At 35.1% G+C, this 18,402-nt stretch overlaps 1 long non-coding RNA gene across 2 annotated transcripts in view; it reads left to right on the plus strand.

The window, feature by feature from the left end:
• Window positions 1-523: 523 nt before the first annotated feature.
• The window catches only part of LOC105376010 (uncharacterized), a 29,402-nt gene continuing 11,523 nt past the window's right edge, over window positions 524-18,402 (plus strand). The window contains exons 1-3 of one of the 2 annotated variants that reach the window (NR_188504.1): window positions 524-609; window positions 1,944-2,025; window positions 12,316-12,381. This is a non-coding gene — a long non-coding RNA (uncharacterized LOC105376010). The remainder of the gene's footprint in view (window positions 610-1,943; window positions 2,026-12,315; window positions 12,382-18,402) is intronic. The other variant, NR_188505.1, reaches the window with a different exon arrangement.

Consider the following 18,402-nt stretch of genomic DNA (forward strand, 5'->3'; position numbering starts at 1 on the left):
CATAATGAAGAAGGAAATGCACAGGTCCTCTTTCTCATTGCCCCACTCCTGTATTTAATGCTACACCATTGTTGCATTGACAGTGAACAGCAACAGAGACAAAATTTTGAAGTATCTGCCTAAATTTTCCCTCAGAAATATGTATTCGTTTTGGCTAAATTATTCAGTCTTTAATGAACAACTACTCCAGACATATATAGCCAATGTGGAGAAAGGAATTGGCAGAATGTGATAAAATCAGACAATATCAACTAAATACAGATTTGATGCCTGAATGGACCAATAATTACTAATTCCGTACTTCCTCTTGGATTATGTGATCTTTAATGATATGGTTTGGGGGTGTCCCCACCGAAATCTCATCTTGAATTGTAGCTCCCATAATTCCTACGTGTTGTGGGAGAGACTCAGTGGGAGGTAATTGAATCATGGGGGGCGGGTCTTTCCCGTGCTGTTCTCGTGATAGTGAAAAAGTCTCACGAGATCCGATGGTTTTATAACAGGGAGTTCCCCTATGTAAGCTCTCTTGCCTGCTGCCACGTAAGAGGTGACTTTGCTGCTCCTCCGCCTTCCACCATGATTGTGAGGCCTCCCCAGCCATGTGGAACTGTAAGTCCATTAAACCTCTTATTCTTTATAAATTACCCAGTTTCGGGTATGTTTTTATCAGCAGCGTGAAAATGGGCTAATACATTTAGCTAAGAATTATCCTAAGGATTTATACATGTAGGTGTTTTTAAAGATATACTATATATTTACATATATAATACATGTAAATTGTTTTATTGCACTTAATTTAAAACATGCATAGTATATGCATAAGTGGTATAAATGATACTAAATTACTAAGTGTGAGAGAAATTCCCGGCCAACCCAAGTAGTTACTGAATTCAGTGCCTAATGTTTGCAGAGATTCTGATTTATCCAGGGAACATTTACATGCAGACTATAACAAGTAAGCAAAGCTTTGTCACTCTTCTGATTAAAGGAATTGATTTGACTTTAGGAAGAGTGACTTTAATTAGCTGTGCAAATGCCATTAATTCCAATTAATCTTCTCACACTGTCAAGACAAAAATCCTGGGAGAAGATAAATTGCAGCAAATCAATATAGCCCTTGTTTTTACCAGGAACAGGTGCTCGAGGAAAGAGGAATGTCATTAATGGGTGTCTATATCAAGAAGTATTTATACAAGACAGTAATTCAATGTGAAAAGCCTTTAGATGATTTCTTATATCCGATTTATATATCCATTAATTGTCTTAAATCAAATAGGAAGGGTTTACCAAAGAGATTTTGAAAAATTATTATTATAATTCTATGGAGAACTATGCTACAAATTCAAATCATCTTTACAGTAGAAAATATAAAGACTAAAAACTATGTTCAAATGCATTGTACTCTCTGTGTTATTTAGTTCAAATACAAAGAAAAGCATTCTGGTCAACATGGTAGCAATGATTAATAGTTACTATATTGAACCAAAACACCACAGTAAAATACCAATGAGTATAAAGATAAAGTAAAAGATTTCCATATACTAAAGTGAAAGAGATTGTTCATGTCAATAAGGGGTACTGAAAAAAACATATATTAGTCCAATTATATATATAAACATATGTAGTCCAATTATATATATAAATGACTATATATATGTTTATACATATAGTTGGACTACATATGTTTATATATAGATGACTGCATGTATTTTTGTATATATAAACGACTACGTATATATTTTTTAGTATCTTTTTATATATGGAAAAAATATATATGTAATCCAACTATATATATATGTAATATTTTCCAAGTTATGATTTCCATTCTTACAAATCACCCTCTCGTTAATTTCTCTAGTCAATTTGTCTTTTCTCTTTTCAAAAAAATATGTTAACCTGATTCTCACTCTGAGAGCATTTAAATTTGCTGATCTTCCATCCAGATCTTTGCATGTTCTGTCCAGCAAGTTCTCTCTCCATGAAGACCATACCACCTAAAGTGACCCCATCTCAGTCTGTCTGTTGGTGAGTTTGTATTTACTATTTAGCACTTACCATATTTGAGGTTGTTTATTTTTTTCTTAACTTGTTACCTCTGTGCTTCTCCCAAGCTCCATGAGTGGAGACATAGGCTCATAAGCTATGTTCTCTACCTAGTATAGTGCCTGGACCTTAGTGGGCACTTCATCAATAAATGAATAATAAATAAACAATTCACTAAGCCATGAAAAACAAACATCTTTTAAAAAACAGTAAATTATGTTGATTTATTTATAATTAACATTTATTATGTGAGTTGCGTGTCCCTGAGGCCACCTTCATGCTCTAGGATTTGCTAGAACTCACAGGACTCGGGATAGCTATTATACTCATAGTAACTGTTTTTTATTACAATGGCAGAACAAAAATTAAAATCGTCAAAGGGAAAATGTACATGGGGTGAAGTCCAGGAGAAAGGAGGAGCAAACTTCAGGTGTTCTTCCAGTGGAGACACATAGGGACATACAATTCTCCCAGAAGGGATGCGTGACAACCATGGCCAAAATGATGCCAGTTGAGGGAAGCTCACCTAAGCCTTGAGGTCTACATGCACGTAAGACTCATGTGAACTGACCTCAGCTACTCAGATCCCAGCACCCAGAACAAAAATATGTGTTCACCATAAATCATATTATTAGGATAAACATATCTAGTCACACTTTTCAGGCATACAAAAACATCCTTAGCAGGGAGTATTTATTTTCTAAGGGCTCAGAGGTTATCTCCCAGAAGCCAGTCCTAAAGACAGGGCTTTTTTTTTTTTTGGAATGCACAGTGTTTCAGCAACCTAGGCCTGCTAAGTTAACCCTTTCCTCCATGGCTTGTGTGGCATGTCTCCACCTCACTGGCTCAGAATTCTTTCTGATTATCTAAAATATCCTGTCGTAGAGTCCCTAATATCCTCATTTGTTGAAGTTTAATGAAAGTATCATCAGACACATCAGACTCTGAGCCCCAAGGAAATAGGGTCCCAGGGGACTGGGCCTTCTGTTTTCTTCCTAAGTCAGCTTCCCAGTCTACCCCAAATCTATTTTGTTTATGTTCATCTCTATCTGCCCCTGACATTTTATGCTTTGCTTGTTACTCCTGATTGAAATTGAAGTATCTCACCTGGGCTTGGGATTCAATAATTTCCTACCAACTTAGGGACCTTCTCCATCATCAAACCTATTTACTACTTTTTTTTTTTTTTTTTTTTTTGGCTCTCCCCATCTCTGGTTCCTGCTTGTAATCACATAAATGTCCCAGAGCAATGTCACTAGTAAAACTAACAAAAAAGAAAAATAATAAGAACCATAATAAAAACTTTCTTGAGAAGTTGCGTCACTCACACAATTTTTCAGCCTTGTGTCTTACCTTTGCATGGTTTCCCCAGATGGAGCATATTTGCTGATCAGCTTCCTCACCTCCCACTATTCCTCTGCTTCTAGAACTCTGGTTTCCTCCTCCACCTTCCCACTAAAGTGAGTGTTACCAAATTTACCAGAATCTTCTAATACTCAAAAGTAAGAGTTAATTCTCTATCTTATCTTACATAATTTTCTTTAATATTTGACTTTATTAAACACTCCTTCTTTCAAGAAGCTCTTTACTCCTCCAATTTCTCTGAATCCATTATATTTTATTTCTCCCCTCTTTTTCTACTAGCACCACTACCCACACACTCTCTTTCTGCTCTAATCATTCTTCTCAACCTCCTTCTTCAGTTTCTTCATTTCTAAAACAGAGATAATAATACCTATTTCATGGACTTATTGTTACGAAATTCGGGGGGGTGGAGTTCAAAAACTCACCTAAGATATTATTGTCTCTCGAAAAATGTTTTGATTACTTGGAATCCCATGAGGTTGTAATTTATGGCCAAAACACCCTAAATTATATAATTTATTTAATTATCAATGTAATTTATCTTTTTCTTAGAATATTTTATCTTATATAATTTTTGAAATATCCATTATGGCCTTATTTTAAAATTAGAAAGAATGAGGCACAGCAAACACGAAATTGTTTCCAGGATCACAGATCAGTAACAAAAACAGATATATGGAATGTTGACTTTACTGGGAGCATTATCGACTTAACTGCACTAACTAATCTTTTGAGTGATTGATTGATTACAGTTTTGAGTTCTTCCAGGAAAAGTAATTTACATAAACCACAGAACAGCTGGTTAATGAATTTTACTTCTGAGAAGTTGTTGGGAACACATGGTGTGTTCTTCAGGGAAGCACAGAACTCTGTGGCTGCATTTTATAAACAATGATGAAAGTTTTTCAATTTATGAGGAGATATTTTTCTCAAAGTTTAAACTTTATATTAAGAAATTTATATTTAATAATTTAGACACGCACAGTGAGCAGCTGCTTCTTCATTCTTTAAGAATTTACACAATTAATTTCATTTATTTAGTATGTATTTAGTGCCTTGTAAGTTCTTAACATTAGAAGTACCATGCATTCCACTGTGAAAAATACAAAGGCAAATTAGTATAATTATTTCTTAAGTTATATTTTTAAGGGCATCCCAACATTTGTAACACTCAGCTTGTCTTTGATGGAAAAGCTCACATTGATCCCCCTCCCATCAGGGGAATCAAAACTGAAGACATCTGTTTCAAAGTTATCAGCATATAAACAATAGCTAAACCAGGAAGGCAGAAGTCACTGAAGATACAATGATAAGTGAAAGAATAATAAAAATAAGATTGGGTCACTGAACAACACTTTACTTTGTTAGACAGATTAAGACTAAATCTAAACTAAGTCAAAAGGGGTGGCCAGGAAGCCCTACCAAGGAGAATGACCAGCAATAAGTTTAATGCCACTAAAAACCCACAAAAATGGCTCAATGTTTTAAAATTGTGATGACTTCTTTCATTGTTACAACTAAAATCAGTCACCCATGTGATCAGTTATTGCAATGTTATTGTTGATACTCCTAGAGATTTTTTGTTTTCATATTTTTTATTTTCAAAAATTGTTGTAGGTGCACAGTATGTGTATGTATTTATGGGGTACCTGAGATGTTTTGATACAGGCACGCAATGTGAAATAAGCTCATCATGGCAAATGGGGTATCCATACCTTCAAGCATTTATCTTTTGAGTTACAAGCAATCCAATTACACTCCTCAAGTTATTTTAAAATGTACAATTAAGTTAGTATTGACTATAGTTACCCTATTGTGCTATCAAGTAATAGGTCTTACTCATTCATTCTTGTTTTTTATTTTTTTGGACCTGTTAAACATCCCCACCTCCCCCAGCCCTCCACTACCCTTTCCAGACTCTGATAACCATCCTTCTATTCTCTATGTCCATAAGATCAATTGTTTTGACTTTTAGAACCCACAAATAAGTGAGAACATGTGATGTTGGCCTTTCTGTGCCTGGCTTACTTCATTTCACATAATGATCTCCACCAGTTCCTTCCATGTTGTTACAAATGACTGCATCTCATTCTTTTTATGGCTGAATAGTACTCCATTGTGTATAGGTATCACATTTTCTTTATCCATTCATCAGTTGATGGACACTTAGGCTGCTTATGACAGGAAAGGAACCATGAAGAAATAAATCAAACAGCAGGGGATTGGATAGTGAACAGGAAATGAGGAAGTGGATACAGAGGCTTGAATGTAAAGAAAGGAAATTTTGCTGGAATACATGACCAGAAGTTTGTTACTATTATTGTCTTCATTATTAATTGATACATGAAAAAAAATCCATGCATTCCCTTGGACTGTTATTATTTATTTTCATTCATGCTTCCCAGTGAAATGGCAAGTAACAGGTAGACATTATAGTTGCCCCGTCTTGTTGTCTCACCTTGTCCCTAATATCAGAATCACATTGCTTTTATTCCTGAGTGCTATTTGTGTTGACCTGATACGTTCTTTAGCTTGGGGTAACTGTTTGGAAAGCTCTGTTTAGTTCCCATATTTGTGTCATAACTGTCATTCTGGATTCTTGTTGTTGAGTCAATGAAGAAGCTTTTGGGGAAGGCTTGGCAGCCATTTTATAGACAGGATCCTGGTGCACAGACTGGACGGTCCAGACAAGCTCTTAGAGAACCTATGCCAGAATATGTACTATCTAATTACAGTATTCCCTTACTATAATAATAATAAGAACATCACACAAGTATATAACACATACGGTATGGCAGGCATGCTTCTCTGGCACTCTATGATTCATTTCTTCATCACAACAACTCTGTGAGGTGGGTGCTATTATCTCCACTTTACAGAAGAGGAAATTGAAGTTAAATACTTGTTCCATAGTCATATGATAAATAATAACAATAAACCACAGAGTTCAGATTTGAACCCAAGCAACTGAATCCTGAGCCTAGTTTATGCTCTTAAATCCTATACTACATTGTTTCTAGAGAGGCTACAATGTGGCTGCTTTTAATTCCTGTGCCAGCAACACAATTTGCTTATGTAGGTCAGAAAACAAGAAATGTGCTGAAATTGAAGAGCTCCATTGGAATCGCCTACCTGGGTCAAGGTTGCTGATGTACTCTGAGTGGTTGGAGAGAAAACTGAAGATCTTATTAATATTTTGAACTGATGTCCCCAAGGTTTGTTGTAATATAATTCTCAAAACTTAAATGCCATCAGACTATACTGAGCAATAAGTACTAGCATGAATCAGAAAACTTCCAACCAAACTCTGTAGCCTTAGACAAATGATCTATTTTCTATGAGCCTCAGCCTTCTCATCTGTAAAATGGGAATAATAATTATCTACTAACCATTTAGAATTGGGGTTTATCATTTAATAAATTTTTATATGAAAGTACCTTGAATATTACATGAATTGGCTTTTATTTTTAATCCTTCAATGAATTTTTTTTTTACCTATAATCCTTTCATGTTCCATCTCAATACTCACTCCCTCATGTCATCATGGACTCTAAAAATTCTAAGATAATTAAGGTTAAGACAAAGACCACAAAGTGACAGAATATTTTGAGATTTTTACTGGCTACATGAAGACCTCCTTGCCCTGGAATTCAGACAGCATTCCAGTGCAAACCTGATTCAGAAGAGGATGGTTTATAAAATAGAACTAGTTTTACATTTAGATAGCAAAGCAAGTCCCTTTTCACTAATATCATACCCCTTTCAACACAACACCATACCCATCTCAAAGAGGACAGCCTTGGAGAAAATATCAAGAGAACTGGAAACCTTAACTCTTTTATGTTGTATTGGATAGCTTTTGGCATTGTCAGCATTTACTTATATGCATAAAGAGTTTGTGCTTTAAAAGACAGATATGCATGAGAAATAAATTTGAGATAGAGCTAAAAGCATACCTTTCTATCAGTTTCCAAGCACAGCACTTTTAGGCATAGATGTGAGAGTTGGAGGGCTGTATATGAACACATTTCTAGAGATAGACTTAACACATGTCCAAAATTTATTTAGTGGGAAAGGAAAAGAAAATAGAACCTACATATGGCTAGTCATAAAAAAACCAATCTGATTTAGGAGATACCCTATGAGTGAAAAATTGGAGCAAATTTGAAAGGTTTTTGCACTTTCCAAGTCCACAGCTAACACAATTTTAATATTAGGCATCCATATCCTTAATGCTATCATAATAATTCACAGCAAATGAAATTTTGATTCAGTTAAATAAAAAGCAATCAAATAAATAAGCACACTTAACCCAAATCATAATTTCCCATTATCTTAAAGATGATGTTTCAGGAACATTAAGTAATAAATTATTTTAAAATAAATATTATGACTTTTTTAGATAATTTATAAATTATTTTTGTAAACAAGAAATTCCTTTAAAGTATATTTCTAAAGAGTAAAACTTAAAAAGTCAAAGATGTGGCCGGGTGCAGTGGCTCATGCCTGTAATCCCAGAACTTTGGGAGGCTGAGGTGGGTGGATCACCTAAGGTCAGGAGTTCGAGATCAGCCTGGTCAGCATGGTGAAACCCTGTCTCTACTAAAAATACAAAAAATAGCCAGGCGTGGTGGTGCATGCCTGTAATCCCAGCTACTCGGGAGGTTGAGAAAGGAGAATCACTTGAGCCTGGGAGGCAGAGGTTGCAGTCAGCCAAGATTGTGCCATTGTACTCCAGCCTGGGCAACAAGAGCAAAACTCTGTCTCAAAAAAAAAAAAAAAAAAAAAAGTTGAAGATGCATGTATACTACAACCTAGCAATACCACATTTCCTATAGAAAAAAACTGCTCGAATATAAAATAGGCATAAAATCTAATTGGCACTGTTTTTATTAATACTAAAACAGGAACACATCCTTACTGTGTCCTTCACTCAGGAAATGTAATAAAACATTCTAAGGCTGCTCAGATGAATAAATTAGATGTATGAGTATCAAAATAATAAATCTTTTAAAAAAGTTAAAGTGTGATAATATTCACTTATTTTTCTACAAAGAAATGTAGCAACATTACAAAAAAAAAAAAGCTAAAGAATAATAACATGCCCTTTTCAGAGAGTGATTCATTTTGTAGGAGAAGTTATTACTGAAAGTATTGGTGAAGGTGAAGGCTGACACTTTATGTGAATTTATAACATGTTCTCTTTTGTATCAGAAAAAAGATCCCTCAGCCAATTTTTGGTCAAATAATATCTATTTAAATGATTGATGAGAACATGGGTACCTGTTATTTTTTTATTCTTTCTGTATTTTGAAATATTTTGCAAGTTAAATAACTATTGTGAAAATAATATAAAAGTGGCAACAGAAAGACAGCTATTATAGCTGCTCTATTAACAAGTTGTTCAACATCTGAAAGGTGACACTATTCTAGACAGTTGTGAGGCTGGAGGACAGGGTAGAATTCAAGTTGTTGGGAGGCTGTGCATAGTCACTAAGTTCCCTTCTGTTTCAAAAATATATGATTCTATGAAATAAATATGAGAAAATCCTTTTGCTGTAGTTTAAAAAAAAAGTCGCCTTGAACTAAAATGACCATATAATTCTAAAAGCATTGTGGCTTATTTTGGCTCTGCTGGCTTCAGGATTGTTTTATTCTCATATTGAGAAACGAAGCAAGCCACCACTAGTAAATGAGTGCAGTGGACCCTATCAGTACCCTGCCAAGATCTCCCGGGACCCCTTCCACTTTTTCTATGCATCCCTCCCTTGCCATGTATGTGCTTTTGCTTCTAATAACTAGCATCTGTGACTGCCTTCAAACAAATGCCCCAGGCTACTTGAGCCACCATTGCCTGCTCAGACAGTAGAAAGTGCTTGATGTTTGATTTTCCCCACCTCAGGGCAGTCAGAGCCAATGACTGATGGAAAGTGTGAGGTAATGCATATGTGAATTAGCTTGATTTAGCCACTCCACAATGTCTCCATATAGCAAAACATTATGTTGTATACGATAAATATATAATTTTTGTCATTTTAAAAAATAAACATTAAAAAATAGAAATCCCACCTCCTCACAGAAGAAACTCTGAGGTATAGTTTGCGCAACAGAGCTCCCCATGGCATCAGACTGGAGCCAGGATTTTACCTAAAATTGCACCCTTGTTTGACCTCTTCCTTTTCCTGGTTCTGCTTTTTGCACTCCCTTACTGTTTTCTCCTGGGAACACTTAATAAAGTATTTGCTTGCAAATCCTTGTCTTAGGGTCTGCCTGAGGAAGTCTGAGGCAAAACAAGCAATTAATGAATGTATTCATTCTTTTAACATGACACTTCGTGGATCAAATCATTTTTGTCAGTTTTGTCAGTCAAATATGATCATCTCTAAGTTCTCATGAATTCATATCTAGGTCCTATGTAAAAACAGGACTTTGAGTAAGAAATGAACAAATTTCAGGAAAATCTCAGAAAACACAGGAGGACACTTAAGGTCCCCTCTGTTAGAGTATAATATTAAGAGAAGAAGTAGGGTTTATTCTACCCCATGTTATCACGGGCCACTTGATAGGTTTAAATTCTGTGCCCTCTTTCCCAGCAGCTCCTAGAAAGAGATGGCAGAAGTCATAGTGCCAGATGGTCTGCTGTTGTGCCTGGCACGTGATGTCAGCAGGGCTTGGCAGCATGGTGGCACTCAATGAAAGGAACAGAAGCACTCAGCCATCATGTTGACACTTGGCCAACGCAGCAGTACACAAGTGGCTGTGGCACTGGTGCCCAGGAGAGCAGAGCTGCCTGGTGGGCAGACATGTCCTAGCATAGGTAACAAAGGCGATATCTGACAGATGCCATATGGTACCTGACTGAGCAGTTCTGAGAACACATGTGAGTGACTCTTTGGATAAGGATTTTGCAGAGGGCTAGAGGGTGGCCTGAAGAGTCACAGATTAGTGCCAGTGGAATGGGATACTATTACTATGGTCCATTCATACTCTCAGCATGGAGAAATAGTCTATTGGCTTGTCATCAGAAAGGACAAGGAAAACTGTTTGAAGCCTATGGCCTCAATTATTTTTTCTAAAATGCGTAAGGCAAGAAATGGCATTGCTTTTATGAAGCATTTACATTTCTAAGAATGAATGATGGGTGGGTGAACTGTACTTAGGCATCAAAGTTGGGAATATCTAATGTGAGAAAAAGGTAAGGGAGGTAATTAAAGGACAGATACAGAGATTGCCACACATCAAAGGCCAGGTTGTGATAAAAAGTCATAAATGTGTAAATATATCCAGTGAGCATAATGATAGATTTTCTTCATAAATGTTAAATGTAGTGTTAAAGATGATTAGATTTCTTGAGGTTTACAAATGAGTAGGCAGGTACTGCATAAAGATTCTTGATCACACACAGCTGTAATTCAACACACCCTAATTTTTGCACAATTAGTGTATTTTTATTTTAGACAACAGAACAAAGTGAATTAGTCATACTGCAACTTGAATAGGTGAATATGACTTTCTCTCACCTTAATGGAATTTCACCCCACAACTTTGAATTAATGTGCTAGGTAATAAGAAATCATGCTCTTGGCTATTTAAATTATAGAGCATTATCTCATAACTAAAAATAATCAGTTGTGGCATTTAAAAAATTATTTTATTCCAGTTACACTTCTGTACAGAAAATAATATTCATAAAAGCATCTGCTACATTTAATATATATTGCTTTGAAATGTATGTACAAATAGATGGTGAGTAAAACCAATTCTGGTCTAATATCTATGATTTATCATTCCTTTTATCAGCAATTACTACATTTCTCTATACTAAGTTTTAATGTGTTAATATCTTACTTTCATTTTAAAATTGTTTCCTATATTATACAGCAACTTCAGTAGTTACACGTATGCAAAATTGTTTAAAATACAAGGTTTCCTTAGCTTCTCTCCTAACAAGGGACTTTTAATATCCATTGGAATATACTTTCTGCAGATGTGTTTTTTGAAAATTATACAAATAGAAATAATTTGGTTACTTTATCAACCAAAAATCTTAGGTCTAGGGTGTCTTTTGAAAGCACTGTGTTAAAACTGCAAATCCTGAGAATATATTCACTAGATTTTCAATAATACTCTGGCAATAAAATTTTATAATGCTGTTTACCATTCGATTATTCTTAGTGTCGGATGGGAGAGGAATTATTACTTTAATTATTAATTATTAGAAGCCTGTGCTATTTGGAGGACAGAAATGTGGGATATTTTTATACTATACAACATTTCCTATATCTTCTGACTCTGTATCCAGGCCTGATGACAGAGGGCTCACCAAGAATTGCAAGTTTCCAAGTGTCTCAACTTCCCATTTCCACATGTCCTCAAAACTCTGCCTCTGCAACAAAGGGTTAGACAAAATAGTTTGCATTCTAGTAGACTGAATCTTTCTTTGCTATTTACAAGGATGGGGCAAATTTCACTTTACTAAGTACAGAAGTGAACTTCGGGAAGTGTCACGTTGAGAGAAAAATGTATCCTTTTGGCTAAGTGAATGAGATTTACTCTCAGAGACAGATAAGATATGAATTTTTATTTTTCCACTTAGTTAAAAACTTGAGCATTGCACAAATCAATAATTCCGTCACTAAATGCATCAACCCATAATGTAACCCATAACTGTAAGTCCCTGGTAACATGAAATAATCATATTACATAATCATATGTGTCCTAAGGCGTCACTATGTGTAGTGCAAAGCAGGCATATTGTAATGGCTAATTTTATGTGTCAACTTGGCTGGGCATGGTGCCCAGTGATGTGGTCAAACATTCTAGACAGTTCTGTGAGGGTGTTTTTGAATGAGATTAACATTGAAATCAGTGGGATTTGAGTAAAGTGGATTGCTTTCCACAATGTAGGTAGACCTCCTGCAATCAACTGAAGGCCTGAATAAAACAAAAGACTGGCCTCCTCCCAAGCAAGAGGTAATATTGCAGCAGATGACCTTTGGGTTTGAGCGTGTATATATATACACATACATACAATGCTCTTGTTTCTCTGGAGAATAGTAATACACTTTTATTTTTTCATTTAGATATTATAGGTTTAAATTCCTCCTCCACTGTGTAAGTATTGCACAATGTGGAAGATTATCTAATGTCCCTTAGTCTCAGTTTCATTATCTATAAAGATAATTTTTAAAAACACTAGTTATATACAATTCTCAGCACCAGTAATGACCATGCAGCTGAAACGAAAAGGTGAAAATTTCTCTTTCTGTACTCTATATTGTATTTATGTTTCTGGTTCTTACATATGAGATTATAAATTATTTGAAGGAAATGAGCACATGTTATACTTCTTTTTATCACTAAGCATTTAAGACATAACTTCTAGTGGACTGAAAATAGTTAGAGAATAAAACTGTTTATATATTAATGGAAAATGAGATTATGTGATTTGAAATCGGGCCTGATATTTAATTATTTATTTTTTCCAAACTCTATAAATCATTCTTATTATTTGATGAAATTCCTACAGAGCATTGCAGTTGTGCTCACAAATATGTCACATGGACAAATTCAGAATAAAGAGGCAGGGAAATGGACTATGCCTCAAAGGGAACTGCAAAGGTATATAGTCAACGGGCATAGATACAGGGAGAAGTAAAGAATTGGGGCAATTGGAAATCAATCTGCCTCAACAATAACTGTATATTAGAAAGATATTTGATAGCCAAAGATAAATCTCATACAATTAAAAAGTGGTAGGGCAGTGGGAAGATAGAAGGAAGCATAGTAAAATATATAGCCTGCATGAAATAGAGGAATTACACATATTTTATGAATATATAATTATAAAGGTAAGCACTAAACTATATCATTGTTCATAAACTTCTTAAATATTAGAATAACTTCCTTTAAATATGAAAAGTAAAACCTCAGGAGCTTGAAGCTGCAGTGAGCACAGAGAGAAATCCAAAGCAAAAATTTTAAATGGAAAAAAATAACATAATAGAAGACCAAACTTATTTTCATATCAATAAATTTAAATGGTATAAATGCAGTTATTAAAATAACTTCAAATGGGTTAACAAAGCAAAACTCTATTCATGAAATGGATGAGACACATCTAAAAGAGAGTGATTAAAAAATAAGAAAAGAAAATGATTCAACTTGAATAAGCAACTTTTAACAAACTATTAATAATAGCATTATTATAAATGCTAAGAATGGCATGTCAAATTTAAATGAATATATAATTCTGTAGAAGTGTTTTTAAAATGACTATAAAATAATTTTTTAAATATTATAAGGCAATATTGCAATAATTCATTCATTTTTTAAAAAGTTCAACAAAGTAAAGTGATTCTTTTATACTACAAAGTAAGTCAAGATTGTCCAATCTAGTGTAACAATTTGATGTCATTTTTAAATTACTTCACTTAAAATAATATTTGATAAATGGGGTTCTATTTATGTGAAAGTAGCAACAAACTACAGAAGTACTAATAACCAGAGCTGCAATAAAGCAAATTTTTGTTTTCAAATAAATGTTTCATTTGATTGGGAATATCAGCATTAAGATTATTTTGAAGTTTTAGTCATAAAATAAATATTTGTACATGAGTACATATACTAGGAATAATCTTAAGAGTTTATAAAAAGTATTTGCTGAATATTAAAGTAGGATTTGGAAGAAAAACTTTTAACTTGTAGAATGGATCACATTAAATATAATCTCAAAGTACATGAGAGCAAAAAGGTGAAACAATCAATTATTTTACTATCTTAAACATTGACTTTTAACACTTCAAATTACTATAGATAAATTAATCCAAGATATATTTAATAATGGTATCTATACATATTATTTAAAAATTATTAATGAAAAGCACTAATTGTTAAATTATATAAAAATGAATCTTTGCATTTCAATACCTTATTTAAGACCAGAATTTGAACATTATGCTAAACTACTTAATACATTAAAGTGACAGGCACTGGAAAGGCCATTACTCAAACATCCTGAATTAATCTGCTTGAACTGCCAAAGCAAAATACCATCCACTGTTGAAGTTTATTTTCTCACAGTTCTGGAGGTTGGAAGTCTGAGTTTAGGGTGCCAGCACAGTGGTATCCTAGTGAGGGCTCTCTTTGTGGCTTGCATATGGCCACCTTCTCCCTGTATTCTCATGTGGCTGAGAGAGAGAGAAAGAGAGACAGCAATCTCTATGGTATCTCTTTCTATAAGGGTACTTGCCATCACGTGGGCCCACTCTCATAACCTTATCTAAAGCTAATTACCTCCCAAAGGGCCCATCACATTGGAGGGTTAGGGCTTCAACATGTGAATTTTTTCTTGTATTTAAGGAAAACAAAAAGCTTATAAAGTATGAGACAAGAAAAGTAGAGCAGTCTGAGCTATGTGAGGTAAGCAAAATTTATCAGGTCCAGAGAGATTAGAGTATGAGAAAACTTCGGTCATGTAAACTTCCACCCTTCTGTTCTCCCACCCTGGCACCCATGCCCCAGGGCAATAGTTTAGAAGCATTTTGTTCTTTTCTTCTCTGTAGTTTCTTGACTAGCTTCCACACCCATTATCTTCAAGTTCCTGGAATGTGTGATACAGGAAACAATGTATAACCGATCAATAGGTTATGTTGTTTTAATATTAGTATAAATTACTGGTACACAACTTAGGAACTGCCTCTTTCTTTCTCCTTTAAATACTCAACTTGCATCCATGCTCCCAGTGTTACTCAGTCCTCAAATTTGGCCCAAATAAACTTTCTATTTTTATGAATTTTGCCTCAATTTCTTCTTTTAGCTTGACAAGTACTAGTCATAATACGTGGAACATAGCAAGCTTTATCAATGACATCTATTACTGCTGCTACTACTACTACTTGCAACAATACTATGTACTATACTCTCTTAAGCAATAGGCATCACTAAAAACAGAATTATAAAATGCACACAAAATTGTTTGGTTTGTGAAAATGATTCATTACAATGTTTTCTAAGTTCTGAACTCACCAAAAATGAACATAGAAACTTCATGACAACAAACATTTAAGTTTAATTGTTGGCAAATCACAGCTGGAATACACACCTTAGGCTTGTTACATAAATTGTCTATTTATTTTCTTTTCCCTCAACTGTCTCATGCAATAATCCCTGGTCACACACTAGGTAATGGCAGAGCTGGACTAACTTATCTCCTAATATCACAGAAGCAGCAGGAACAGAGAGAAAGATTGTTTATGAACTGTGGCAAGCCATACAAAGGAATAAGAAAGAAGACGAGGGGTATGGGGACAGGTTGACTTCTCCCCATTCAGAACTGTTTTTCCCATTCTTACCCAGTTATTTATCACAGATCACATCTTCTGTAAAGAAAAGAAAGTATGGATTGAAAAACTCAGAAGCTCTCTCCCTCACATTTCTTTTTTTTTTCTCTCTCTGCCTCCCGGGTTCACGCCATTTTCCTGCCTCAGCCTCCCGAGTAGCTGGGACTACAGGCACCTGCCACCACACCCAGCTAATTTTTTGTATTTGTAGTAGAGATGGTTTTTCACCGTGTTAGCCAGGATGGTTTCGATTTCCTGACCTCGTGATCCGCCCACCTCGGCCTCTCAACGTGCTGGGATTACAGGCGTGAGCCACCGCGCCCAGCCTCTCCCTCACATTTCTTAGATGACTGACTAAAACTCCTATTTAATGGACAGAGTAAGGAAAAGAGGGAAAGAGAGTCGCTTCCTACAAAGCATTATATTTAAAAAACAACAGTAGTCTTGGCACAGTGGCTCACATCTGTAATGTTTGGTGGAGCTGAAGTGAGATGATTGCCTTGAGACTAGGAGTTCAAGACCAGCTAGAGCAACATAGCCAGGCATTGTCTCTGCAAAAAATAAAACATGACCTAGGTATGGTGGTGTGCACCTGTCGCCCCAGCTACTTAGGAGGATGAGGCCGGAGAATCTGGACCTCTGAAGCCCAGAGGTTTGAGGCTGAAGCGGGCTGATTGCACCACTGCCTTCCAGCCTCAGGTGACAGAATGAGACTCTGTCTCTAGAACAACAACCAAAAAATTGATTTCAGAATCACTTACCAATCTTATTCATTCTGAACAAATTTTCTATGATTATTTGAGGTCAGAACTATAGGAAAATGGCTTAGCAGAGCTCCTCCCCTTGATGAATGAGAAAAGGAGAGATAAGGAGAAACAGAAGTTTTGTAGAGTAAAATGTACATTAGGAAAGTTTCTCAACTATAAAGCATGTACTATATATATGCACGTATGTGTGTGTGTGTGTGTATATATATATACACACAGAGAAGTATATATGTATATATATATATATACAAAAAGAAGTCAAGATAGAGGAATGATCTTGTTGATAAGAGGAAAATGAGAAACAAATCCATATATATATATGCCTCTATAAGTAAGCAAGCTGCTTGCTTACATGACTTTTCTGGATAGTTGGTTCCATAGCAATCATGAGTACAAATTGTGTGTAATATCACATTTATACTAGCAGATTCATGGTTTTCCTGCCATGATTTGTAAAGTCTTCTTGGGTCATCATTTATTAAACCCTAAGTAGAATCTGAAAAACTTGTACTGATACCAACAAGTTTCTTATGTGAAAGATATTTTGAAATTTTTTTTTCTGAGTAGAAGGCACCTCAGTTCTCAGTTTCCTCTACAGTCCTATATTTTGAGGGAAACTAGCAGTTCTAAAGGCGAGTTGTAGTGGACAATTGTTAGTTTTGACTTTCAAGAATCTGTTACCCATTTTTGGAAGCTCTACCCCAACTTCCTACTGAGACATCACCCACTCTTGGAACGGCTCTCAGTTCCTGGATTTTGTTTAGTTTCCTTCACCCCTATCTTGAGGGATGGAGCATATAACCCAGTCCTACATTAGTCTCTGCCTTGCATTCTCCTGCCTACATTGATCAGTTCATGGACAGTTGCAGCCCTGAATCTATTGCGAGAGCCTCAAGAAAGAGAAGTCAAGATAGAGGAATGATCTTGTTGATAAGAGGAAAATGAGAAACAAATCCAAACAATGCCTTTTTCTTATCTAATAGCTAAAGGCCTCAGGCTTTTCTAGAAGCTGTTCCCACTGCCTAGAACTTGGTTTCCCAGGCAGTCATATTACACGTTCTCTCACTTCCTTCAGGAGCTTCTGCAAATGTAAATAAGAGATGCTTTTCCTGACCACTTTATCTTATTTTCTTATTCCAAAGCTTTCTAAGGTACTGTTATGTAGCATACATATTTGTTACTGTATTATTTTCCTGTTTTACAGAGGAGGGTTTGTTTTGTTCACAGCTGTATACCAGTACCTATCACGAATTCTGAAATATAGTAGAAATTTAAGTGAGATTTATTGAATAATTTTTTTAAAAAATCAAACAAGGATTGTCTATTTAATTAATATTCTAAAATTAAACACACAAAAAGTTGCAAAAATGCACTATGAAATCAAATATATCTCTCACCTGGATTCACCAATTGGTAGTATATAGACACATCTGTTTACTACCGGCCTCTCTATGTGTATCAACTTTCCTTTTGCCAAATAATCCCAGAGTACACATTTTCTTTTCCAAATATTTAAGGCAATTTTACAACTAGCTAGTGAATAATGTCACGAAAAGTAACAACAGTAAAAGTACTCCTACAAAATATCAGGATCACATTGTGCAATCTCAAAAGATAAAACTAAAAATAAAATCACAGTTATTTTTTCCTCCTACCTATATGGATTTTTATGAACAAACCATAATAGGGAGTAAATCTGAATGAATATTCAGCTCTAAATTTATTAGATAATTAAGCCTGATGGGAAAGAATGATTTTGTGTAGTGGGTCATATTGCTGGGTTCTTTAATATTTATCTTCATTAATTTTGTCCTGTATTTGCATATGAAGTGTTCTGGGTTAGAGACAGATTTCTTATTAAATGACTCACAGTAAATAATAACTGT

The sequence above is a fragment of the Homo sapiens genome, chromosome 9 (assembly GCF_000001405.40).
Source record: "Homo sapiens chromosome 9, GRCh38.p14 Primary Assembly".
Taxonomy (NCBI): domain Eukaryota; kingdom Metazoa; phylum Chordata; class Mammalia; order Primates; family Hominidae; genus Homo; species Homo sapiens.